A 25,816-nucleotide genomic window follows, 5' to 3' on the forward strand; every position below is an offset into this window, starting at 1 on the left:
TTTAGAAAGTAATTATTACTTGTGTCTCTCAGGGCAAGGAGAAGGGAACAGAAGGATACGGAGAAGCTATTTGTAGTTCACCCCTGCCTAGATAAAATGACTTTAAACACAGTATACAATCGCAGAATAAGAAGTATCCCTCAAGATATAAAATTCTTCCCATATTACCTCCCCCATCATCCACATCCAAGAATCCAGCATGGGGGCAGGTAAAGGGGAAAGAAGATCAGCAACTTCAGAAGGGGGTCTCTATGGGAGGGAATTGTCAGAGTCTGTCAGCCTCACTCAACCTTCAGGGTTCTGGTTAATGCATTTTGACAGGGAAGAGAGTTGATTCTGAATAAATGAATCCTTTCATGTAGAGAACTTCTGGGGAGCAGTGCAGAGTGAAAAAAACCAGCACCCATGACTTCCTCATGTGGAATTCTGGGCTGATGCTCCATCTGACTCCAGGTAATCACGGGGCATTTCTTTCAAAGCCATCCATATTTCTGGGCTGGAAAAAAAAAGTTTCAAAGACTAAACCCCATGCTGAGGAGCTGATTTCTTATAACAATAGCTAATGATGAGTGTTCTTGAAACCCCTTTTTAATCAAAGGACAGGGATTGTCAGAGCAGATATCACTGTATTAAGTCCAAACTAAAAGCCTGGTCAGGGCTTCTATACTATAGTTAAAACCATTAATAAAGGCAGCTCTAAGATATTTCTGTGAGAGATTCAGAAAGAACACTAATTAACCCAGACAGGGAATCTTCCAAAGATGTATTCCTTCTGTTGAAGAATATCCTGTATTGGCATTTTTGTGAATCATTCTTGACATTTTGCCAGTTCTGCTGTCAGCTTTCAAGGGATACAGAAATAGTGAGTAGATTTTTAAGAGCAAAAATCTATAAAACAAAGTCTGATTACAACACTACTGGCTGGCTTAAAAACAAACACAGAGATGATCATTAAAAAACAAAACTTCTAGCAAAGTCTCCTGTGGTAAAATAGCTTCATCTTGTTGGTATGAGACCATGTCTGAAGGAGCCAACTTAGATTGAATTACAGTGTTCTCTGGATTACAAGTGTAAAAGTGTTTTGTGTTATTGTTTAGTGAACATGTCTGGGTGAGCAGACAGTCATACACATATACATATATTCATTCAGTGAATATTTATTAAACAGCTATTCTGTGCCAGACACTGCTAATAAACTCTTAAGAGAGCTGCCGTTATTACTTTTTATAAAATACTAGTAATTGTTCTAAAAAGAGTAATTGCTAAATGTTTATTTTATGCTTCAAGTAACTGAACATTTTTAGACATAAGTAGTATGCACAAGCTCATTATTAAAAAACTAAAGTAGAATATTGGCTATTAAAGTGGAAGTAAAGTATCTATTCACCAGTCCCTGACTTCCATAGCCCAACCACCACTTCCTGTGGAAATATTATTCATGGAGCGTGATTTAAAGAGTATTACTCTCAAACATTCTTACCACCCAGAACTTGCTAATGGCATTCAAAAGTGATGTAACACAAGTCACATTTCACACTTATACTTTCTCTTTATTCGCATAGTACCCATACTACTCTAGAAAACAGTATTTTTAGCTCCCTCACTTTAGCCCCTAAAATGACTGAGAATAAGAGAAGATCGAAGTTTTCTTCCTTTCCTTTCCTTTCTGCCATCCTCCCTCCTTCTTTCTCTTTCTTTCCTTTTTTTCTTCTTTCCTTCTTTCTTGTTATTGTTTTTAAATTATATGCATAGGCCAATATAACACAGACACAAGTTTGCAGGTTGTCAGGAAAATAAGAAAGAGAACATTTTGACTAAGAACTCCAAATTGAACCAGAATAGAGGACATAGTGCATTTCTTTGTAACTTGGAAAGTTGGGTCATGGAGAAGCTACTGTGTAAAATAGGCATATAAAATTTTGGCATTAAAGAAGACTCTTGCTCAGCCAATGACATGTGGACTGCCTGGATATCCCCAAATTCTGATTCCACATTTGTTTTTATAAAACAAAACAAATGAACAAAGAACAGCCCCATATTCACCTGCTACTTGCTACAAAACATAGGCCTGAGAGAATTTATGAGCAAAGGCAGGATGCTTACTTTAAATATGTTTGTATAGCATTTGGAATCCTCAGAGAATGGGGCCTGAATAAATAAAACACCACTACTAATAATATTTCACAAAGCTCGGTGAGAGAGTGGCTGTGGACCCTGGCCATTCCCTGGGCATACCTGCCTCTTATCAAACTCGCATCACAGTCTGATGGGGTGTCCTTCTCTTGCCCTTGCCATTCAATAACTCCTGCAAGTGCAGAAGACAATGGGGGTTTTAAGGAAGGGTCAGGATTCTCTGCCCATCTCCATTGCTCCTGCACTCAGCCACGTGGTCACCTCCTGCAACTGGCATTGTGCAGAACGTCATGGAAGAGAAATGGTCCCTGGGCAGAGTCTGTCAGCAGGAATTTTGGCTGAGGAAGAGAGACAGTTCTTGTCCAGCATCGTATTTCTTTCTCTACCTTAGTAATAGCCAGAGAATACTGGAAATGACCGACTGAGTAAATTGCTTTTGGAACAAATGCGCTCCCTCCCACTGGTCTCCTCCTTCTCTTTTTTTGGTTTCTGGCTCTCTCCCCTCCCTCCTCATCTCCTCCTATCCCTCTGCAAGCATGAAAATCTCTCCTCTCTTTCAGATGATGCAAAGCTACTGACAAAGGTCAGGAAAACATGTATATATGTAATATGTAATGTTTTGCTAACAATTCAGGATGTCGCCTCCAGCTTTCCAGGTCATGAAGTAGGTGTGGTCTAGGTCAGAAAAGCCATCCGTCTTCACATTCATGCAGCCAGGCCAGCATGTAGGGGCCACTTGCAAACATCACTGACCCCATAACAAGGTCTGTCTCTTGAGATTTATCCACAAGCATTGGCCTGAAGCCCCTTGGCTGGTAAAACATGACCCCAAGAGGAGGAGATAGTTCAGATTCCTGACTGGGTGCACCCAACAGAATGAAGTCATTAACGTTGTTGCTACTTCCAGCTTCCCTCTCAGTCCAGCCTGGGTTCTCCTCCCTGAAACTTGCTCTGGATTCCTTTGAACAGCTTTGTTATCAGCTGCACAGATACTGTAAACCAACCTTCAGTGAGTGTGTCTGTCTCTGGTAGTGGTTAAAATTACACAAAGACACACCTTTATTGGGAGTTACTGCTGTGAACTTCCTTTACACTAGGGATATAATACAACTTATAAAGCAGGTGTCTGCCAAATTAACGAGCATAGTCTGCACTGCTTTCTGACACCAACAACAAATTCTCCGGCTCTCTAGAAACCAACTAGATATCCTACAATTCAATTCTGTTCTGACACTATCTACCTAGAGTTAGCATCAGAGCCCATGAGTTAAGAGCTCAGTCCCACAAGACCATGCCCACTTTAGACACCAGTCCTAAGTCCCAGGCTGTCACCTGTACTTCTGACTGGATATAAATTCGAGGGTTTTCATTATCCCCTTTTAAGTTTTGCTACTTTTCTAGGACAGTTCATAGAACTCAAGAAAATACTTCATTATTTATTGTAAAGGATACATCTCAGGAATAGCCAAATAAAAGAGATACAAAATGCAATGTATTGGGGGAGAGCGTGTGCAGAATTCCCATGATCACTCTGGGCATGCCGCACTCCCAGCAACTCAGAAGCTCTCCAAACCCCACTGTTTAGGGTTTTTATGCAGGTCTCATTGCATAGGCATAATTGATTAAATTATTGGCCATTGGTGATTGGTCTCAACCTTTAGAATCTCTCCCCTCCCCAGGGGTCACTGCTTGAGGCTGAAAGTTCCAACTTCTAGTCATGCCTTGATCTTCCTGGTGAGCAGTTGCCATTCTAAAGCTGTCTGGAGCCCCAAGACACCAATCACATCATTAGCATACAAAAGACACTAATCCCCTGGAGATTCCAAGGACTTTAGGAGCTGTGTGCCATCAATCAGGGACAAAGATCCTCATATATTCCTTATTATGCCATGGGAAATAATACAGTTTACAAAGCAGGGTGTCTGCTAAATGAATCTTAATTAATGAACACAGAGATCCATGATTAGAGGTGTTGCCATGTGTGTCCCCACACTCTCCACCCACATGCATTAATGTCCCTTAGCAAAGAGCCTCCTGCATTAGTTTGCTAAGGGTAATAGCCAAATACTACATGTTCTCACTTATAAATGGGAGCTAAATGAACTTATGAACACCAAGAAGTAAACAACAGACACTGGGGTCTGCTTGACGGGGGAGGGTAGGAGGAGGGAGAGGAGCAGAAAAGGTTAACTACTGGGTACTGGGCTTGATACCTGGGTGCTGAAATAATATGTACAACAAACTCCCATGACTTGTGTTTGCCTATGTAACAAACCTTCACGTGTACCCCTAAACTTAAAATAAACATTAAAAAAAAATCAGGCAGGAGAAGGAAATAAAGTGTATTCAGTTAGGAAAAGAGGAAGTCAAATTGTCCTTGTTTGCAGATGACATGATTGTATATCTAGAAAACCCCATTGTCTCAGCCCAAAATCTCCTTAAGCTGATAAGCAACTTCAGCAAAGTCTCAGGATACAAAATCAATGTGTAAAAATCACAAGCATTCTTATACACCAACAACAGACAAACAGAGAGCCAAATCATGAGTGAACTCCTATTCACAATTGCTTCAAAGAGAATAAAATACCTAAGAATCTAACTTACAAGGGACCTGAAGGACCTCTTCAAGGAGAACTACAAACCACTGCTCAATGAAATAAAAGAGGATACAAACAAATGGAAGAACATTCCATGCTCATGGGTAGGAAGAATCAATATCGTGAAAATGGCCATACTGCCCAAGGTAATTTATAGATTCAATGCCATCCCCATCAAGCTACCAATGACTTTCTTCACAGAATTGGAAAAAACTACTTTAAAGTTCATATGGAACAAAAAAGAGCCTGCATTGCCAAGACAATCCTAAGCTAAAAGAACAAAGCTGGAGGCATCATGCTACTTGACTTCAAACTATACTACAAGGCTACAGTAACCAAAACAGCATGGTACTGGTACCAAAACAGAGATATAGACAAATGGAACAGAACAGGGCCCTCAGAAGTAATGCCACATATCTACAACCATCTGATCTTTGACAAACCTGACAAAAACAAGAAATGGGGAAATGATTCCCTATTTAATAAATGGTGCTGGGAAAACTGGCTAGCCATATGTAGAAAGCTGAAACTGGATCCCTTCCTTACACCTTATACAAAAATTAATTCAAGATGGATTAAAGGCTTAAATGTTAGACCTGAAACCATAGAAACCCTAGAAGAAAACCTAGGCAATACCATTCAGGACATAGGCATGGGCAAGGACTTCATGTCTAAAACACCAAAAGCAATGGCAATAAAAGCCAAAATTGACAAATGGGATCTAATTAAACTAAACAGTTTCTGCACAGCAAAAGAAACTACCATCAGAGTGAACAGGCAACCTACAAAATGGGAGAAAATTTTTGCAACCTACTCATCTGACAAAGGGCTAATATCCAGAATCTACAATGAACTCAAACAAATTTACAAAAAAAAAAACAAACAACCCCATCAAAAAGTGGGTGAAGGATATGAACAGACACTTCTCAAAAGAAGACATTTATGCAGCCAACAGACACATGAAAAAATGCTCATCATCACTGGCCATTAGAGAAATGCAAATCAAAACCACAATGAGACACCACCTCATACCAGTTAGAATGGCGATCATTAAACAGTCAGGAAACAACAGGTGCTGGAGAGGATGTGGAGAAATAGGAATGCTTTTACACCGTTGGTGGGACTGTAAACTAGTTCAACCATTGTGGAAGTCAGTGTGGCGATTCCTCAGGGATCTAGAACTAGAAATACCATTTGACCCAGCCATCCCATTACTGGGTATATACCCAAAGGACTATAAATCATGCTGCTATAAAGATACATGCACACATATGTTTATTGCGGCACTATTCACAATAGCAAAGACTTGGATCCAACCCAAATGTCCAACAATGATAGACTGGATTAAGAAAACGTGGCACATATACACCATGGAATACTATGCAGCCATAAAAAGGATGAGTTCATGTCCTTTGTAGGGACATGGATGAAGCTGAAAACCATCATTCTCAGCAAGCTATCGCAAGGACAAAAAACCAAACACCGCATGTTCTCACTCATAGGTGGGAATTGGACAATGAAAACACATGGACACAGGAAGGGGAACATCACACACCAGGGCCTGTTGTGGTGTGAGAGGATGGATGGGGGAGGGATAGCATTAGGAGATATACCTAATGTTAAATGACGAGTTACTGGGTGCGGCACACCAACATGGCACATGTATACATATGTAACTAACCTGCGCGTTGTGCACATGTACCCTAAAACTTAAAGTATAATAAAAAATAAATAAAAAAAATAATCTGCACTAATGCAGCCAGGCCTGGCCTTGTCTGGATCTAGGAAAGATTAACAGAGAGGCTGACTCCTCTAAAGGCCTGAAAAGAAATACTGACCACCTTTTTCTCTGAGGGCTGCTACCTGTGAAGTTTCAACTACGTAACAAGACCACCTTGCCTAGTAAAACCTCCTCTTTTCTCCCTTCTATAATCTGATTTGTCATCATAACCCATTCTGGGCCATTCTCTGAAACCTCATTCTTTCTGTAACCTCAAGATGGTATATAAGCTTCTGTACCCTATGGGGGGATGGGGGTTGGGTCTTCGTTCTGAAGGTTCTTGTACATACACATTAAATAAATTCATATGCCTTTTCTCCTAAGAACACAATCAAACAAAAGCCTCACCGGTGAGTTAATTCCACACCCCAGGACCTACCTCATCTGAGACCCAGTCTTCAGGGACCTCTCTCCAGCCCTGTCATCTGATATCATTGAAATAGATTAAACTTGACTTTCTGAGCTCCTCTTTTGGCTCCTATAGCCTGCAGCTCTGCTTGCATGTGCCTATGTGATTTCTCATTCCAGTCATATTACAAACTAACCGAGACACAGATCTTGTGCAAAAATTTTCTGCTGCCATCTCAGCATCTACTTCAGTGTCTTCCCAAGCATCAGTAAATGTTTGCTAATAATTAATTAATAAAATAGATCTATAAAATGACTATTACTGGGAATAATAATACTGATAATAAAAATAATATTTAAGTAACATTTATAACTTGCCGGGAACTTTACTAGACATACATTTAATAATTAATTTAATTTATATGAACCAGCTGTGAAAGGGAGTTAACATATTCTCTACACAGGAAAAACCAAAGTTTAGAGAAAAATGCTAAAGAAACTGACACAGGGTCATGCATAGAGGAGGCAAAAAAAAAAAAAAAAAAAAAAAAAAAAAGATTCCTGCCTCATAATCCCCAGAATGTTGAGGCAAAGTGGAATTTTGAAGGTATCATTAATAAGATTTTTCAATGCTCAGTAGGGAAGATTGATTTTCTCTAACAAAATGGAACTCTGTCTTCACAAACTCATACAGAAAGTTCTCTTCATAAGTGATCAGGATTTGCAATGTGCTTATCCAGTTGCTCCTAGATTTTTAGTAAAAGTCATCTATATATCACAGAATAACTGAGCGAGGAGGACTATAAAAAATAATCCAGTTCCAAAAATTGTTTACTTTCAGCATCCAGTTGATATCTTTAAGCTTCTGTAGGCAGAAAATACTTCAGAGCTTGAGTGCATGACATACAAATGGTCTCTGATGTTATTTTTCAACTTATTTTTTAACTTTATGATGGTACAAAAGTGATACATATTCAATAGAAACCATACTTTGAATTTTGATCCTTTCCAGGGATACTATGCTATGATGGGGTGCTATTCTCCCTCTCTCTCTTTTGCTGTCTCCATGCTGGACACTGGCAGTGAGCCACAGCTCCCAGTCAGCCACACATTCATGAGGGTAAACAACTGATACAGCCATTCTGTTTTTCATTTTCAGTCCAGTATTCAATAAGATACATGAGATATTCAGCACTTTGTTATAAAAAAGGCTTTGTGTTAGATAATTTTGCCCAACTACAGGCCAATGTATTGTTCTGAGCATATTTAAGCTAGGCTGGGCTGAGCTATGCTGTTTAGTAGGTTATCTGTATTCAATGCATTTTTGACTTAAGATATTTTCACCTTACAATAGGTTTATTGAAATGTAACCCCATCATAAGTCAAGGAGCATCTATGCTTCAAACAGTCCTGGGCAAGAAAGAGTTGAACTTTGCTCTACACCCCCACTATATTCTTGCCTCCTAGTATCTTGGCTATGTCTACTAATTCTCAATTGCAGCCTTTACTTTAGGGATGTAGTTTTCAAGATGACCCTTTTTGGGATGTTAGTGTCTTCCAATGTTGTACAGATTATGTCTAGTCTTGCCTGTTGACCACAGTCTAGCAATTAGTATTATAACCTAACATACCTCTAGCTTCCAATTTGGCTCGATTATATATGCCTCAGAATCTTGGAAAGATGTACAATTTGTTTATTTATTTCATAAGAAGTGAGAATTAAATTGGATCTTTAATCCACAAGTCATATTTTCTTTCTTCAGTGCCATGCAATAAAGTCAGTCTCTTTGTCAGTGGAGAAGCTGCTCGTCAATACAAATTGAGCACTTGGTGACAGGAAGAGGTACAGATGTATGAGATGAAGGAATAGTAGCTAATGAACTATTTTAGGATATCAGTTAGCATTCAATAGTCAAAATTCACTTAACGAGAATAAACTAAATCCTATACATTCGATATTGATTTCTACCTGGATTTAGTTATTCATAGAACCTATAAAAATTGTGACTCCATAATTATGGGGATCTTGAACTGAATAAAAGAGGAACAAGGACATATACAAACTGCTAAGGTAGAAGAAAATTGAAGAGATTAGCTGGGTTATAACTAGTATCACAAGAACAAAAACAGAGATATAAGAAAATTAACAAAACATAAAAACAAATTCAGAAAACCTTTGGTCTGAGGCCTCTTATATTAAATCAGCTCAAACTTCCACCACAACCGAGATATAAAGGTGGATGGACTGCACTATCAGTACCTTTTGGCACCTGTTGTTTGTTCCCCTTCAAGACTCTTTTAATATTCATATAAAATAGTGAGTGACCAGAGAGCATAAGGTCACTTCTCCTAAAGATCAGAGGCACACAATGTCCTCAACCTCCTTGCATAAACATGCACCCACTTATCTCCCCCAACTCCAACCACAATTCTACCTGTTTGCCCAACCCCTTAACTTAACCAAGTTCAACTGTCTTTAGGTAACAGGTTACAATCTTGTGAGGATGTCAGATTGGGATTACGTGTTTCATAAATGTTTGGTTGAGTTGACCTATAAAATGAATGCTATTTTCTTCAGAGAAAGATTTAATGCAATTTTCCTTAATGAGTTTAAAACCATTAATGCTTTTTATTTCTTAAATCTATTTTTGCTCCTTATATTTACCTAGAAATGTATTTCCTACATATATGCTCTGAATGTATTAGCATTTCATTACTTTAACTTGTGTTTCTCTGTAGCTATGGCCCATTTTTTATGCCTAATATTGTTTATTTGGGGTTTTCTCTCTAGTTTATAAGGAAAATTGAATTGTCTATTTTGTCTTTTCAATGGACACACTTAATCTTTTTTGATATTCTCTCCATTATATCTTTGTTTTATTCTTCACTAATTTACTACTATTATTTTTTGAAATTATCTCCTTCTTAAGTTTGTGCTTACTTTATGCGGTAGGCAGATTTTGAAAATTGGCTTCCAAGGTTCCATGTCCTAATCTCTAGAACTCGTGAATATGATGAGATAGCTCTCCCATGATAATGTTACACTATATGGCATAGTTGAATATAAGATAAGGAGATTATCTGAATAAGTGTAATGTAATCCTATAAACCCCTTTAAAACCAGAGTTTTCTGCAGCTGGTAGTGGAAGAGATAGACACTGGAAGCATGAGGGAAATTTGATTTGCGATTGTTGAGATTGAAAGTGTGGCTAATTGTGTTTATGCGGCTGAGTTATGAGTTCTGGTCATTAGTGTGAGTGACAGTACTGTAAGGAACTTCTCATTTCCACGTATTCTTATTGGTAAGAGAGAATAATATTTAAGTAACATTAGAAAAGATATATCAAGAATGGCAGAGGTTTCCTACCACTTATAAACCATTTTTTTCTAGACTATTGTAGAAGAAAAATAGAAACTCTGTTTTATATAAACCACTGTATTTTAGGGTGTCTTAATCACAGTACTTTGGCCTGTACCCTAATCATTACAACATAGTTAGAAATTGCCCACTTAGTCGTCTGCATTTTAACTCTCTCAGTTTTCTGCTTTCTCTCTCTAATTTTCTGTTTTCTCACCTCTCTGTGCAGCATTCCATTGTCATTTTATATTGTCAGATCTGTCATCCAGTTGGCTAATTCCCTCTTCAGCTACATCTCATTGAATGTTTAATCTGTCTATTGAATTAATCATTTCAATCACTGTGTCTTGCCATTGTAACTAGTTCTTTTGCAAATATATCCCTGTTGATTTTAATAGTATCTGTCGTTATACTTTAATAGTCTTTTATTTATTTAAAAATATAAAATATACTGATCATCTCTGATCTCATAATTAATCTCTGTAATTTGTTATTTCTGTTTTCTCTTGCTCATGATTGTTAATTTTATGATTTAATAACTTTGTATTGTGAATACGTTTCTTGGTGCTCCAGCTGTGAATATTTGTTGACATGAGATCTATGTTTAAAATATGTTATTCCAGAGAGGATAATCATTTGCCTTTGACTAATGCCTGAAGTACTAGCAATTTAGAACCAGTTTAAATTACATTTTTGGTGGGAAGGGGGTTGGGAGGCACAGAAAGTATGAATTATAAGCCTCAGAACTCGAGAGAAGTCTTGTGAGTTGGAATTCTCATTAGATTTTTTTACAATAATTATTATTTAGACACAGTACCAACAGGGGTAGCAGTCCACACATTTCCCACTGTAGGGTGCACTTATGCTTTCTTTCAGTCTTCTGAGAAAGCTGGCCCTCAGTCCACCTAGATCCATGTAGTTGCTCCAACTTTCCATGTGTTAGATCATCAAGAATAAGTAGAACTTCCTCAAGCAAAATCGATTCTTGCTTTCTCCTGATTTGGGCTTTCTTATATTTCATAAGCTATAAAACACCTTTTTAACTTTTCTTTTAGCTCAACAATGCATTGAGAAATATACATTCAGGTGTGTCTTACTAGAAGAGTCTTTCTTCTACAACTATTAACTTTCTTTTCTTTCTTTTTTTTTTGAGACTGAGTCTTGCTCTATCACCCACGCTGGAGTGCAGTGGCACAATCTCAGCTTACTGCAGCCTCCGCCTCACCTCCTGGGTTCAAGTGATTCTCCTGCCTCAGCCTCCCAAGTAGCTGGGATTACAAGAGTACACCACCACACCCAGCTAATTTTTGTATTTTTAGTAGAGACGGGGTTTCACCATGTTGGCCAGATTGGTCTTGAACTCCTGACCTAGTGATCTGCCTGCCTCGGCCTTCCAAAGTGCTGGGATTACAGCCATGAGCCACCACACCCAGCCTACAACTATTAACTTTCATACTTTCAGATAAGCTTTAATTTCCTTCAGAGCATACATAGTTGTGTTAAATTCTCTTCTCTTTCTTAAAAATTATTTCCTATCTCTCTTCTTTAGAATGTAACTTCCTGAGACAAGAAACGTGGTAATCTCATTTACTGCTGTATTCCAGTGCCTACGGCAATGCCTGGCACATAGAAAATGCTCAATAAAATTTCCCTAAATAAATACATTACAAGATATATATACACACACATACATACATGTATTATACACATGTGCTGTAGCCATACATACACATGTGTGTGTATAATACCTATATAATTTGGATTTGAACAATTTTTTGTTTATTAAACTGCTGGTCTAACTGGTCATAGAATACTTCAGTTTTGTTGTGTGATAAGTAAAATATTAAGATTAAAGATGCATCATACAAAGTTAAGACACATTGCATTGACTGTTTGGTGAAAAGGTAAATGGGAATCCTTTGGACAAAATTGTTTATTAACATGACAGAAACATCAGATAAATACCTACTTTTGAAATGCTGAGTTATTGTAATATGCATATATAGTCACTAAATGTTAACTGTAATTTCATGTTGTCATTCCAGTTTGCATCCTTAATGCGCGTCATTTCTCTGGTGGGTTTGAATGGTGCTGTTTTACAGACTGTCACTTGCAAGTTTGAGGCAGCTGAAGCTACTGTAGAATGACTGACATGAGCATTGAGCAGACCCTCATAGCCTCTGCCAGCAAGTCTTTATTCTGAGTAAAGGGAGCAGATTAGATAATTGGATGGTTGAGCAAGAATTCATGTTTGTGTACTTGACGGACGTGAAAACATGTGTTCAAGAATGCAAATTTGAGGATGAAACTTGTTTGCTACAAGACAAACACTGAGATTGGGGTTTGGAGACTTGAGTTTTAGAAGTACCTATTAACTAAATAGTTATAGGTACTTCTGGACACTTCTGGACCTCGGTCAATTTATCTGTAAAATAAATGGCTGTTGTAGTAAATTTCCCTTCCAATTCTACAATTCTATTATCAAATATTTCTCACATTTATAGGACTCTCTGAAAATTAAACAAAAATCTTACAATAAATTATTCCTCTTCTGAGAAATTCAGTATAAGTTGGGCCGTTGCTGGACTTTCCAACATCTGAATTATAAGTACTACATGATGCCTGTCTCCAAGTGTTTCCCTAAAGTAGTTGATAATATAACGAAAACTAGAGCTCTACACAGAAAAAAAAACAAAGCTTTATTCTATTACCTGGAGGGAAGAAAAGCTAGGGAGCCCTCTAGGGCACTTAGGGTTATAGCACTGTCTCTAATCTAGCCTGAGGTTCTTGGACTATGGATGATGCTTCCTAGTTGGAGCTCAGCGCTACTCACCTTCTGCTTTCTAAATCTCTTTGTCTCTTGTTTTTCACTATCACTTACCTCTCTGGTTTGATTCTATTCCTTCTCTTCTTTCTTCCTCTTAACAATTATGTCCAGTCTGTACCACCTACTGAATGATAGAGAATGACAGCATTACCTTCTTAACATATGACAATCATAGCCCTTCAAATAGTGAAGCAATAGATCAGCTCTGACCTCTGTTTGCTTTTTACAAGCAGAGTACAGATAACTAATATCAGAAATGAAAGAGAGGCCATCAATACTGATACCATAAACACTGAAGAAGATAGTAAGAAATACTATGAACAACCCTACGCCCACACATTTGATTATTAGCTTAAATGAAATTGACTAATTCTTTGAAAGACATCAGCTGCCAAAACTCACACAGGCTGTGTCCCCTTAACAATACCGGGAGAGGCAAACACTACATTATCAGCCTCTGCCCACTAGCTGATGGGAACAAGAGTTTGAGGTAGTACAATGCCAAGGAACCCAGGGACACTCTCTTCACAGCTTTTCATTTGTCATCTATCATGTTGGCTCAGGCTGCTTTCATGCTTAGAAATTGAGATTCTCTGTGACTGCAGCTTTGCAAACATCGGCATTATGTAGCCAATACTTGATCTTCTTCTCATGATCTTTGTCTCATGAGATTGGACTGTGCTATCTGTACTCTTACCTGTTGATGAAGGCCATGTCATAATCAGATTGATGGGCCAAGCCCAAAACGCCATCTGTAGTAGCCTCATTCATTAAATAATAAATACTACCACTTCACTAAACAATGTGTTTCTTGGATTCCTCTTTGGGTATCATAATGTCCAACCAGATCAATTTTTGTCTACCTCCTTGTCCTCCTTTCTGAGTTTCCTTTCTATTGGCCCATCATGACAATTTCTAGATATTGCCTATATAATGGCATGATGTCTCATATTTTAATCTACAGGCAGAGTAAGAAGCAAAAAGCAGTTTAATGCCTCAGCCATTGGAGGTACGTCATAGCAGTCAAGAAGGTAGCAACACTGGAATCAGACCTGGCTTAGATACCTGGTGCTGCCCTATACCCTCTACATAAACTTAAGCCATCACTCATTCTTTTTATTTGGTCAAGTCTAACCTGAGTATACAAATATCAAATTCATATGGATTCTGTAAAAAAATTATATATAATTTTATATATATATATATATATATATATGGAATATATCACAGAAACTGCCTAAATGCTCAATAAATAGAAATTAAAATAAAGCCTGACCTAACATTTGCTTCACAAATAACTACATCATCTGTCCACTAGCAGCATTTTATTTGAATCAATTCTGTTCCTCCCAATATCTTTTTCCTCCTTTCTTCTATATATAGAACTTAAAAGCTCTCAGGAACCATGTGTTGCCCTTTTGTTGAGGAAGGGGTCACAGCTTGTTCAATGTCCCATTTTGTGTTGAGGGCAATTATAATTAGAGCCCTGGTCTATACCCCAGGCTAAAGCATCTGGGAGCCTGGTGAGGATGGAGTGGGGCCACTGAGGGCTTGAGCCCTCTTTTCCATGCACACTAGAAGGCAGGAGTAGATCCCCCCCATTCCTGTTCTTTGCTGGCCCTGATGCAAGAGAAAAGTAGGAAGTAGCAGAGAACCAGAGAGGCAAGCACCTTGGTTATGTAATATCCACCAAATACCGTTCTAACATATATTAGCCAATTATATGTTTCTCAAACAGCCTGGGAAGCTTCTCAAAATATTTTTATCAACATAATCAAGTACTGTAAGAAAAACAGGTAAGCTAGAACCAACATACCTCTGACTGTAAAGTGCCGAAAATTCTAGGGTTTAGTTCAAGGCTAACCTTAACTAGGAAGCTATTTTGAATTTTACTATGAAATAATGCAAAGAGAAAGGAAGAGACCTTCGGTTAAACAGCTGCAATTAATAGGATGGTGAAGTCTATGGAGAGCTGGCCTGGTGGAACTGGCTTTCATGGCTAGACACGGACAAATTGCCCAAGGTGGAATGAGTATTCTGTGGCAAACTGCCCTAGGAAGCCTAGCCTCTTTGTCTCTATCTGTGTCTGGCATCCACGCTGAGTTTATCTTAATTAGAGCTAAAATGTAAAACTGTCTCCTTGATAGATTTCCTCCATGGTCCTCTTCAGAGTAGGTGGAACCAGATATTGTTTTCAGAGGATTGAGGTCATCATCACCATCATCTTGACCAAATGTGTATCCTGACCTTAATGTAGAGACCCACCTAATATCTTCCTGACAGACTAACATGGGGGGAAGTCACATATTGGAATCTGTTAGTTTCCATATGCATGCTGAATATTATCTTAGGCCTGAGAGCCAATTTTGTCTTGTTGAAAGATCTAATGAGTTTCCTCTCTAGGAGATGGGCAGTCTAGCAGTAAGTCAGCCTGGGAGTAATTTTGGCTCTGGCTTGAAACCCAGTCCCAGGAGAGAAGTTTTTACTGTTACTTATGGGCCAAGGTCTCCTCATCTCTTTCAGTTCCACTTTCACTAATATGGGTCCATCTGTCCCAGTTCTCCACCTGGAAATTTCCCACCCCTACCATTCTGACTATAGAAATTGCCTTAGCTCTTACCAGTCCTTCTGGGCAATGGTTCCTGAATGCTGCCCTTAATCTTCAATTCATAAGCCACAACTTTCCAGTAAGCACCTGGACTCTCCATGTTCTTCCCACCTGGACTCTCCACCTAACCCTAGATCCCACTCCCATGACACAGTGGGCCATCTACTTGGCCAGCCGCCACCTCCAGTAGGCTGCTCAGCCTGCAGCCTGCCACCTGCTTGGACTGCTGTCTCCAGCTCTCAGCGATCCTCCTTTCACCTTTCACTTATTTTCCCCCTTCTTATCACTTTCTTTCTTTGTTCTTCTCCTGATCTCTCTTTCACCTGTCCAAAGGCCCTCCGTCCCACTTGTCTATGGCTCACAAGTCTCTGCAGTCCAACTGGACTCTTCAAGTCAAATAATTCCTGCCTCCACAAAAGTTGAATTATAGATCTTGCTGGGCTATAGTAATAGCAGTAGGGCTAAGTAGGAAGGAGCAATTAGGTACACAAATGAACTAAACTTGGCTCTTAGACTGAGTCTTAGTATTTCATTGGATAATGTGGCAATGAAGAAATTAGTTACAATGAAAGGCAAATTATACCAAAAGACATTAGAGGTGAAAAATTAAAATAAAAAGTCCATGTTTCTAGCTTCCAACTCCTCTGCTCATTTCATTTCTTATTTGTACACAGTATGCTCTGAACCCCTTTATTCTGCAGAATGATTATAGAGCTTCCTACAGCATCATTGTCCACCTTAGCCCTATCTGTGGCACTATACAGACAGGACTTCCTCACGATGAGAAAATAACACCTTTTACTCTGTGGCATACATTTCCCTCCCTTTCATTCAGTATTTGGGATCTACATGCTGAGTTCAAGCCCATATACTACATTTTCCTCTTTTTTTTTTTTCTTAAATGCTCAGCTCATCTCATGAGTGAAAAAAGAATTTTCTCTTCTGCCTCCCACATCATAATGCAGCACAAAAAGTACTCCCATCCTCCATCTGATGTCTATCTTGTTCAAGAATCTGCACCCATCTACTCCATAGAGAGACATAAAAATTTCACTTAGGAATGAGTCATGAATTGTTCTTTAAACGTTGGATCAAAGGAGCTTGTAAAGCCCAGGTTATTAGTGCATGTGTACAGTGTGTGTGTAAGGGAACAAGTGGATGGTTCAGATGCAAAAGTCTAGGAATGGGACCTGGACCTCTTGTTGCCATTACTCCTGCCTAAGGATGAGAATGAGTAACAATCTATAGGGTGTTATTCTGTATAGAACCATATAATTATGTAAGTTTGAGAGAGGGTGGCATGACATAAACAAAAAGTGACAAATATTAAAGACATCAAAGTCATCTCTTAACCTTAGAGTTATTATCAGTCACTTACCCCTCTTATTATTCATTTGAGCACTAGTTGCTCAAATATAACCCATGGATTGAACTGTTCATGAACGCACTATTAGAATAGATCATAGGGTCCTTTGTATTTCTACAATTTCTTGTACAAATTTCTATCCCCTCTGTAACATAACCATCTGCTTATGTTTTAGTGTTTCTTATTAGGTTGTGAATAATTTGAGGGCAGGGCATGTGCCTCAATTACCTATGCAAAACAGCTAGAACAGTGCCTGATACCAGATAGATGCTCAATAAACAATCATTGAATGACTGAATGGAAGGATGAAAAATGTGGCATTCGTTGAACTCATTCTTCATGATTGGAAGATTACATTTTGTCCAGAATGTTTTATTGATCCTGGAAGTTCTCTGTTTTTCAAGGAAAGTGTCAGCAGCAAAGGAAACCATAATTACTGAGGTTGCTAAAAACCTTGGTTCCTCCAAAGAATGCTTTATCAACCACCATTACGTTTTCCTGGTAGGTGAGCAAGTTTAAGAGGTTTCCTGGTTCCAATAGGAAAATTGACTTGAAAACTGAGAGGAAGATGGCTCCACTAATTGCTTTGTCATCCCTGCTAGTTGGTGACTTTGAATGAAATAGCATTTTAATTTCTTGAACACCTACTCCCTTTAGACACTTGCTAAGCACTTTATATATAAGAACCAATTTCATTTTCTCCTAAGCACTGCCAAATAAGTATAATTATGCCTGTTTTGTAAGATGATGGAATTGAGGTACAGAGAGATTTGAATAAGTTGCTCAGGATCATGTAGCTAGTAAGTGATGGACCCCGATTTTTTATTTTCATCTTGTTAGAGACAAGTTCTCACTCTGTTATCCAGGCTGGAGTAAAGTGGTGTGATTGTGGTTCAGTGTAGCCTCAAGCTCCTGAACTCAAGCAATCCTTCTGCCTCAGGCTTCTGAGTGTATGGGACTACAGTCATGGACCACCACACCAGGATCATTGTTTTCTATTTTTTTGTAGAGATGGGGGTCTCACTAAGTTTCCCAGGCAGGTCTCGAACTCCTAAACTCGAGTGATGCTCCCACCTCATCCTCCCAAAGTGGTAGGATTACAGATGTGTGCCACTGCACCAGGCCTCAGATTTTTTTTTTTAATGGCCCACAGTTACCAAACCCTTTTCTCGGGGATTAGATAAAAAGTTTTGAATGACTGTCAGTGTAAACACATTGCCTGCTAATGATCTATGATCTTATTTTAAATGGAAAATATTTTCTTTTGACCTAAATAATTAAATGCAAAGTATTTGCTGTGATAAAAGTCTTGGAATCCACAATAAAAATATTTGTACCTACCAGTCATGACTGAGCATGGGATGACTAATGGGTTACAATCAGAGTTGGGAAGGTGGGTCATTATGATGTCATCTGGCATGTGATAATATAGATCAGGCCTGCACTCTCATGATTTGGAGATAGCCTCGTAGAAATGACAACCACAATGTTAATACTAACATATGTATTACATGGTTTGTTTGTTCTTTCGCTTAATATTTTCAGAGCACCTACCTATTATAGGCACTGTGTAAGTTGCTAAGGATACAGACATTAATGTTTTATTCATTCAATCTCCTCAGTGTTTCTTTAATAATTTCTTTGCATCCTACACCCACTGTTTCTAACATGGCCTGGGTCCTTAGTTATTCTTTCCCAGAAACAATTCTCCTGAACTGCCTCTCAACCTCCTCACTCGTCTCTCAACCTCTAGTCTGTGTCCTTTCCAATTTAATTTCTGACTAATGTCAAGAGTTATTGGAGGCTCTTTGGTTAATATTCTTAACCCGTAACATGGTGCACAGGTTTCTCTTAATGACACCTGTATCTCCAAGACCCTCCTGAAACCTTTGTTAGCTAGTTTGGTCGACTCTCTCTTTGCTCATATACCCATTCCTCTCTGATACTATGTGAAGCTGGATTTAAACTGTTAGTTAATTGTCAGTTTCCTAACTACCCTATGATCTTTTCAAGAAAAGGGATTTGAATACATACATTTTGTCTCCACAGCACTTCTCACAAAACTGGGACAACTAACTGTTTATCCAACATCTGCTGGCTAAATAAAGACATGATCTTCACCTTTTGGGATTGTTAATTTAAAATGGTTCCATAAGAGCAATGCAAAGACAGAGATATTTGGCAGCACTGCAGCTGGTGATTTATATGGCTCTTCACAAGGTGTTATTTTGGGGTGAGTGATCATTTTAATGATCTTGTTTCAAATGGTCACACCCTACGTTCATCAGGACATTCTAGCCTTTTGCACAAAGACTTAGATGTACAAACATGCAGGATTCATAGCAATTAACTCCTACCCTCATTCTTTTATCTGTTCTCTTTCCTGCCTTTGTTGCTGTCCCTTACCCCTCCCTTCTTTCTCTTTGTCATCCTTTTTTCTTGTCCTGGATAGGATTACTTGACTATTTGATTATTACAATAGAGTTTTCTAAAGATTCACCATCAGAATGATTTAACTGACATTTAAACATATTATTAAGGAAGTAGGATGTTGCTTGAAGGTCATAGTTTGGATTTGAAGTTTAAAGGTTTTCATAATGTTTAGTAAAGGTATCATAAATGCCATCTCTCCAAAACTAGTATTCCCATAGTCAATGACAATTGGATTTATTCAGGACTTAAATTTATTTAGCTTTGCCATGTAATATTTGTCAAAAAAGATTGCAGTTTCCAGGAAGTTCTTGTTTTGCACACTTGCTTCTTTGGCTAGCCTTGGCAGACACCTGAGACCTGTGAGGATAGTCTGTGTGAGGTGCTGCATGTCCTCATGTTCCTTCTCAGATAGAGTGGAGGCACCCACCAGACCATAGTTTCCCATTTTCTCAAAGGCAAACATCTACATCACAGGTGTGATCTGGGGTTTAAAGTGGGAGAAGTTTGGTGGGGCAAAGTTCATTTATCAGTCTAAACCCAACTAAATAGTAGACTAAACTCTCTCCATGGAACGGCCATTTGAATGAATTATCTATCATAAGTGAGTTCATGAACTAAAACTTCTCACTAAATTAGGTTTGCTCTATACACAACATATTCCAAAGGCTACTGTCTGTATTATGTCCTACAGGTATCAAGGTATGGATGCTTAAATCAGCTGCAGGAAGTAAGAAAGAAGAAAAAAGGAGTGATAAAGATAAAAAAAAATCAACCTTGGTCCTTCCACCAAGACCCATTAATTTCCATATCATCATCTGCATAAGAGGGAAGATTCCTACATGACCAGGTTACTGCAAGGATGTGAATTTTGAATATTAAAATATTATACACAATTGGAAATAACTGAAATCTACCAATGTTTTTACAATCCAGCATATTTACAAAAACAAATCCATCAAGACATCCAATAAATTAGTCTTGATGAGATTTGTAATGAGGCATTAAAGATAAGCTAAGTAAACTGTTAGAAACTTAGAAAAATATATTGTAGCGTAACATATCTAATCTTAGCTCATATTTTATGCAAATAATTAGACAATAAATATTTAAAATAAACAAGAAATTTAAATCTTAAAAGAAACTAGACAAAGCAAATTTAATATTTTTGATTACCTAGCAAAGTTCAAAGCCATTATACTCTGAGTAGAAATTACAGTAGCTGGAAAGAAAATACTTTTTTTCCTTGTTACTCAAATCTATTGATTCTGTTTCAATCACCAGTGAAAATTAAAGATTTTAGTATAAATGAAGTCATATTTAGCTTTTTAAAATTCCAGGGCAGTGTGGAGTTTGATATACTCTCTGCTTTCTGGAGAAAACTGCTCATTACAGGAGCTAATAGAAGAAAAAATAATTATTCCTATTGTTCCAGTTGTGCACCCACAGATATCATTTCACATAACAGTCACAACTGTTGATAAGATTCCTAAATAGATCACGGAGGATCACTTGTGAGCAAATATTCTCATCTCTTTACAAAGGCCAAAGATATTTTCTTTTTGTAACTGGATGGACTTGCATAAGGTAATGAGCTTCATCTAGTGATAGCAAATGGCTGCAATTACAATTTGTGTTAGGGCAGTGTCTGCCCCAAATGTCATGGATCTATATTGGACACACTGACACTAGATGAGTAAGACTACTCTGAGATGGAATGAGAGCACTCTGTATGTTGCTGGAAGAGAACAAAGAGACAGCATAGGGGGTATGACTACAATCCCTCTCCCAGCAAGTCACTACTTTCAGGAAAGTCTCTGCCCCTGATGCCTTACCTTCCAAACCCCACTGCATACACGGACATCCCTTTCCTTTGCCCACACAAAGGGTGACATTAGCTTCATACTATGTCTCTAGCACAAAGACAATACCACCAATGACAACAGAGACCTACAATCTTGCTACAACACAACCCCTGTTCTCTACAGATAAAACTTGGGGTTGTGAGAACTTTAAAACGTGTGTGTCCTGTGTGCGTGTTTGAGAATGGCTCAAGCATCTCCTTTCTGTGCATGCCTTTCTGACCCCATGGGCAGCTTTAAACCTCCATCATTCACATTCAAACCCACTGAAAACTTCTAAAGGTTTAGAAGTTATTTTCAGCACCCTGAGGTACAAACCTCTCTAATCAACAAATCTGGACTTACATCTGAGGATAGCAGATAGCCTCAAGAGATTTTACAATGTTTTGCTCCCAAATAAGCTGAAGATATAAGAATATCACAATCTTTTTCAATTTCTGTCTCTCTGTGCTTGTATGTATTTTCAATACAACTTCTTCACTTCCATTGCAGATTATAACGAAAGACAAAATATATGCTGCAGTTGGGGTGGAGAAATTGAAGGAGAGAAACACAGGTGAATCTAGAAATTTGAGAAAATGTCTAAATAGAACACTAATTTTTGGAGGCCTAGGGTTTCTGCTAAATCAGACAAGGTAACATATGCATATGAAAAAGGAAAGTGATCTTAAGAGAAGAACATGAATGGTCTTGTCCTTGGACTAGACATTCAGAGAGGGGCCCTGTGCCAGAGATCTCCAAGCCCACCCCCGGGTCTGGTAATTTGCTAGAAGGATTTGTAGGATTCAACCATCATTATACTCACAGCTAAGACATATTACAGTGAAAGGATACTGTATTAGTCCATTTTCACGCTGTTGATTAAGATATACCCAAGACTGGGTAATTTACAAAAGAAAGAAGTTTATTGGACTTATAGTTCCATGTGGCTGGAGAGGCCTCACAAATCATGGTGGCAGGTGAAAGGCAAAGAGGAGCAAGTCATGTCTTACATGGATGGCAGCAGGCAATGAAAAAGCTTGTGCAGGGAAACTCCCGTTTTTAATACAATCAGATCTCATGAGACTTATTTACTATCACCTATCACAAGAACAGCACAGGAAAGACCCACTCCCATAATTCAATCACCTCCCACCAGGTTCCTCCCATGACACTTGGGAATTGTGGGAGTTACAATTCAAGATGAGATTTGGGTGGGGACACAGCCGAACCGTATCAGATATGAAGCAAGCACAGCAATGGGAAAAGACACTTGTGCTGAAAGCACTAGCTTCAAAACAGTCTATGCCAGTGGAAGTCACACAGGACTTAATTCACCAGCAATGAGCTGTGGCAACACAAAAGAAGTGTTGTCTATCAGGGAAGTACATTACAGACTCAGCGTCCAAGCTTTATACTGCAGGATGTTCACATAGACACCTTCTGCATAACACATTTAAAAATGCCAAGTGCACAGAAACAAAGCAGGTATACAGTATAAAGAAATTGTTTATACGGTTTCTGCACAGTGAGCCACTCTGACCATTCAGAAAATGTTTAATATCAGTGTGAGCAACTATTTACCAGTCAAGTTACCAGACACCAGTCAGTCAAAGATGGACCTTGTAAGAAGGCCTTTCTAAGGAGAGGCAGTCTCAGGCCAGCTGCATTCACTCTTCTCTGCTCAGCACCCTAGCTCCCGAGCTGCTTTTTTCCCATACTGTGTGCAGAGCTTTAAGAAGACCTCATCTCTACATAGTTTACTATTCACATTTCAAAAATATTCACATTTACTATTCAGATATATTCACATTTGGAAAATACATTTCCCATTCTTTATTCAATTGCTTTAAGGAAAGCAGGATTAGGGAATCATGAAAGAGTTGGTGTTCATAACAGAAGCTTCTCTTAAGACAATTTTGGCACTTCTGAGATTTCAGGTAAAATTTGAAAGCTTTTGAGACATTTTGTTTTAACTTTGGGAAAATTTACTAAAACTCTCAGTTCAACCTAGAATTCCAGGGGGCCCCAAGGAGTTTTAACAATTTGGATTCAGCTTTCCAGACTTCCTGTTTTCTATGGTTTGAGTTCTTCCCATGATAATCTATGGCAGAGCACAGAAGACTCCATGTAGCCACCTTGACTGGGCACCCTTATTTTTTCCACTCACATTTTGGGCTCCTGGAGTAAGAAGATAATGCAGTTACGGACAAGGCTCTAGTGTCATCAGCACAACTTCCAGTTTCTTCTCCCAAAGAGGAATTGAACAATTTTGGCCATATTCCTCCCTTCTCACCTGGCATGTATCTGTCGAAACGCCATTTTATCTTTTTCTAAACTAACATTATGGTTAAAGACTCTTTTTGAGAACTGGTCCCTGATTTCTGACTGCAAGTTTCCTACTTCCTCTGAACGTCCTGCCTCTCTTCTCTGTGCCTCAAGTAGTACATGTAAGATAAGTCACTCTATGTGATCATCATTTTGGTATATGCATTCAATTCCTACGTAAATGTGAAATTCTGCATGACAGAGCCTCTTCAGATATGCAACAACATGCCCTCTGAGAAAACAACATTATACGTATCACTTAAGTAAGAGAAAGAGAAAAACAAAGTCAAAATAGGCTTGAGCAAGCAGGCACCAGGAAAGGGTGGGCAGAAACTACCCACTCGTCCACGAATTAGAGCTTGGAGTTAGAAAATAGAGGAATGATGTACAGATTAACGTAGCAAGAGAGGTCTTTTCTGGGGGAAGCTGGAAATCCAACCTTGTAAGCAAAAATTGAGATCAATACTAACAAAATTATTTAAGGAGTCAAGACAGGAAAAATTACATTTCAGTATTTCCCAACCGATCTATGAAACATAGTCCTGTTTCGTGTCAGTCAAAGAAAAAAAAAGAAAAATATTCATTTCCAAATAAGTTTGAGAAATATTGCATACTACATTCCATTCTTACTGTAAGAATGGAATGTAGTATGCAATATTGTAAGGAATTATCATTTTAAAAGCATCCAGAAGACCTGTAGTAAAGGTCAAATTTATTTGATTAGAAATGCACCATCTTATTTTTTTAAAACTTCTGTATTTTGTTTTTTATTAGCATAGATTTAGGTTCCATGGAAGATAGTTTGGGAAACAGTGTTATCCATGCATTCTTAAAATCAGTGTTTTATTATCCTTGGTCTCTGTGAAATATCAGTCTATCAGCTGATTTCTGCCCCTACAATTTCATGAGTTTTGCCTCAGACTCATAGTTATTGCCTAATATGTTGCTTTATGAGTTAAATAGGACCTAATATCATCAGTGTACTTGCATAAAAAAGTCAGGCTGTATACTTGACAATCCGAGTATAAAATGGGAAAAACCCAACCCTAAGAAAGAAAAAATAGATGTATTTCATAATAAAGTCTATTCAAGGGCTAGAAAGCCTTATATTGTCAAAACCACTCACAGGTGATTATTAAGTGAGAGAATATTGCGTCTACTTTCTCAGATGCTGCTGGGTCCCAGGTTTTAAAACCACAGTCTGACCCAGGATCCTTTCCCCAGCTTTGCGATTCATTTGCTGTGAAACCAAGTGTAAGTTACTTGATTTTACTATCTTTGGTTTTCTGATCTATAAATGAGGGTAGCAGTGCACACCCATCACAGGCATGGAGAGGAAATTAACATAAATGACTTCGACCTCTTTGCAAATATGAAATCCTGGTGATCTGTGCTAAAAAGACTAACTCTGTCTTCATGCTCCATTTCCCTTTCTCACTCCCCCAGGGAGACTTATGCTTGTCTCAGGGCAGTGGAAAAAAAAAAGTCAACATACAGAAAGGTCAGTGTGTGTGGCCAACCAAACGTGATATCCAGCTAGAAGTCCAGCTTATTCTAACTGAGCATTAAGTAGAAACAAGGTCTCTCAGATGGCTGTTCCCTTGTCTCATCTCTCAAATAGCTATCCACTTTTCTACAGATTTCAATTAGGTTTCAAAGTTTGTCTGCAGTGATGATAATTTCTGTCATCTCAACACCTTTGTGACATGAGTAGAACGAGCATTAGAGTTGAACAGGTTATTATTTGTTTTTCAGATAATAAAAAGTGAACCCAAAGGAATTAAAGGAATTGATCAGTAACACAGAGTACTAGCCTTAGACTTAGCTTCTGAAAAAGAGACACTATGTAATGTACCTCACCCTAAGTTGTCTTACAGTGGCCTCATTCAGGATCAGAGCTTAACCATCACGACACATGGGTGAGGGGAAGATAAATCACTGTTCCTCCAGCATCCAAAAATATATCCAATCCCCCATTCTTCATGGCCATGTGGAAGAAAGGTAGGTCTCACAACCCTAAGCTGTCAAACTCAGAACCAAATGGAAGTCTTTTGAAAGCTTTAGTAGAATCACAGAATCTCATATTTGAATAGGAGCTCAAAGGTTATCTGTGCAGCTTTCAGGCCAATGAATTCTGTATGGTACCTTGTTGCTTACTCAGTCTTTGTTCAGCTCTGTCAACATTTTCTCCATCTCACCA

General features: G+C 38.4%; 3 long non-coding RNA genes across 5 annotated transcripts in view; 2 read left to right on the top strand and 1 right to left on the bottom strand.

The window, feature by feature from the left end:
- Nucleotides 1–25,816, bottom strand: part of LINC01830 (long intergenic non-protein coding RNA 1830) — a 26,798-nt gene continuing 982 nt past the window's right edge. The window contains exons 1-4 of one of the 3 annotated variants that reach the window (NR_187228.1): nucleotides 18,359–18,384; nucleotides 13,098–13,167; nucleotides 12,186–12,415; nucleotides 1–496 (exon numbers count right to left, since the gene is read on the bottom strand). This is a non-coding gene — a long non-coding RNA (long intergenic non-protein coding RNA 1830). Of the gene's footprint in view, nucleotides 497–12,185; nucleotides 12,416–13,097; nucleotides 13,168–18,358; nucleotides 18,385–25,816 lie in introns of those variants that run through there. The other 2 variants (NR_187229.1, NR_187227.1) reach the window with 2 other exon arrangements.
- On the top strand, nucleotides 18,541–20,350 carry LINC01884 (long intergenic non-protein coding RNA 1884). The gene is made up of 3 exons (NR_110577.1): nucleotides 18,541–18,587; nucleotides 19,067–19,250; nucleotides 20,142–20,350. It is a non-coding gene; the product is annotated as a long intergenic non-protein coding RNA 1884 (long non-coding RNA).
- Nucleotides 24,796–25,816, top strand: part of LOC107985857 (uncharacterized) — a 6,051-nt gene continuing 5,030 nt past the window's right edge. Inside the window, exons 1-2 of the long non-coding RNA XR_001739331.2 lie at nucleotides 24,796–24,870; nucleotides 25,494–25,617. This is a non-coding gene — a long non-coding RNA (uncharacterized LOC107985857). The remainder of the gene's footprint in view (nucleotides 24,871–25,493; nucleotides 25,618–25,816) is intronic.

Source organism: Homo sapiens, chromosome 2 (genome assembly GCF_000001405.40).
Source record: "Homo sapiens chromosome 2, GRCh38.p14 Primary Assembly".
Taxonomy (NCBI): Eukaryota; Metazoa; Chordata; class Mammalia; order Primates; family Hominidae; genus Homo; species Homo sapiens.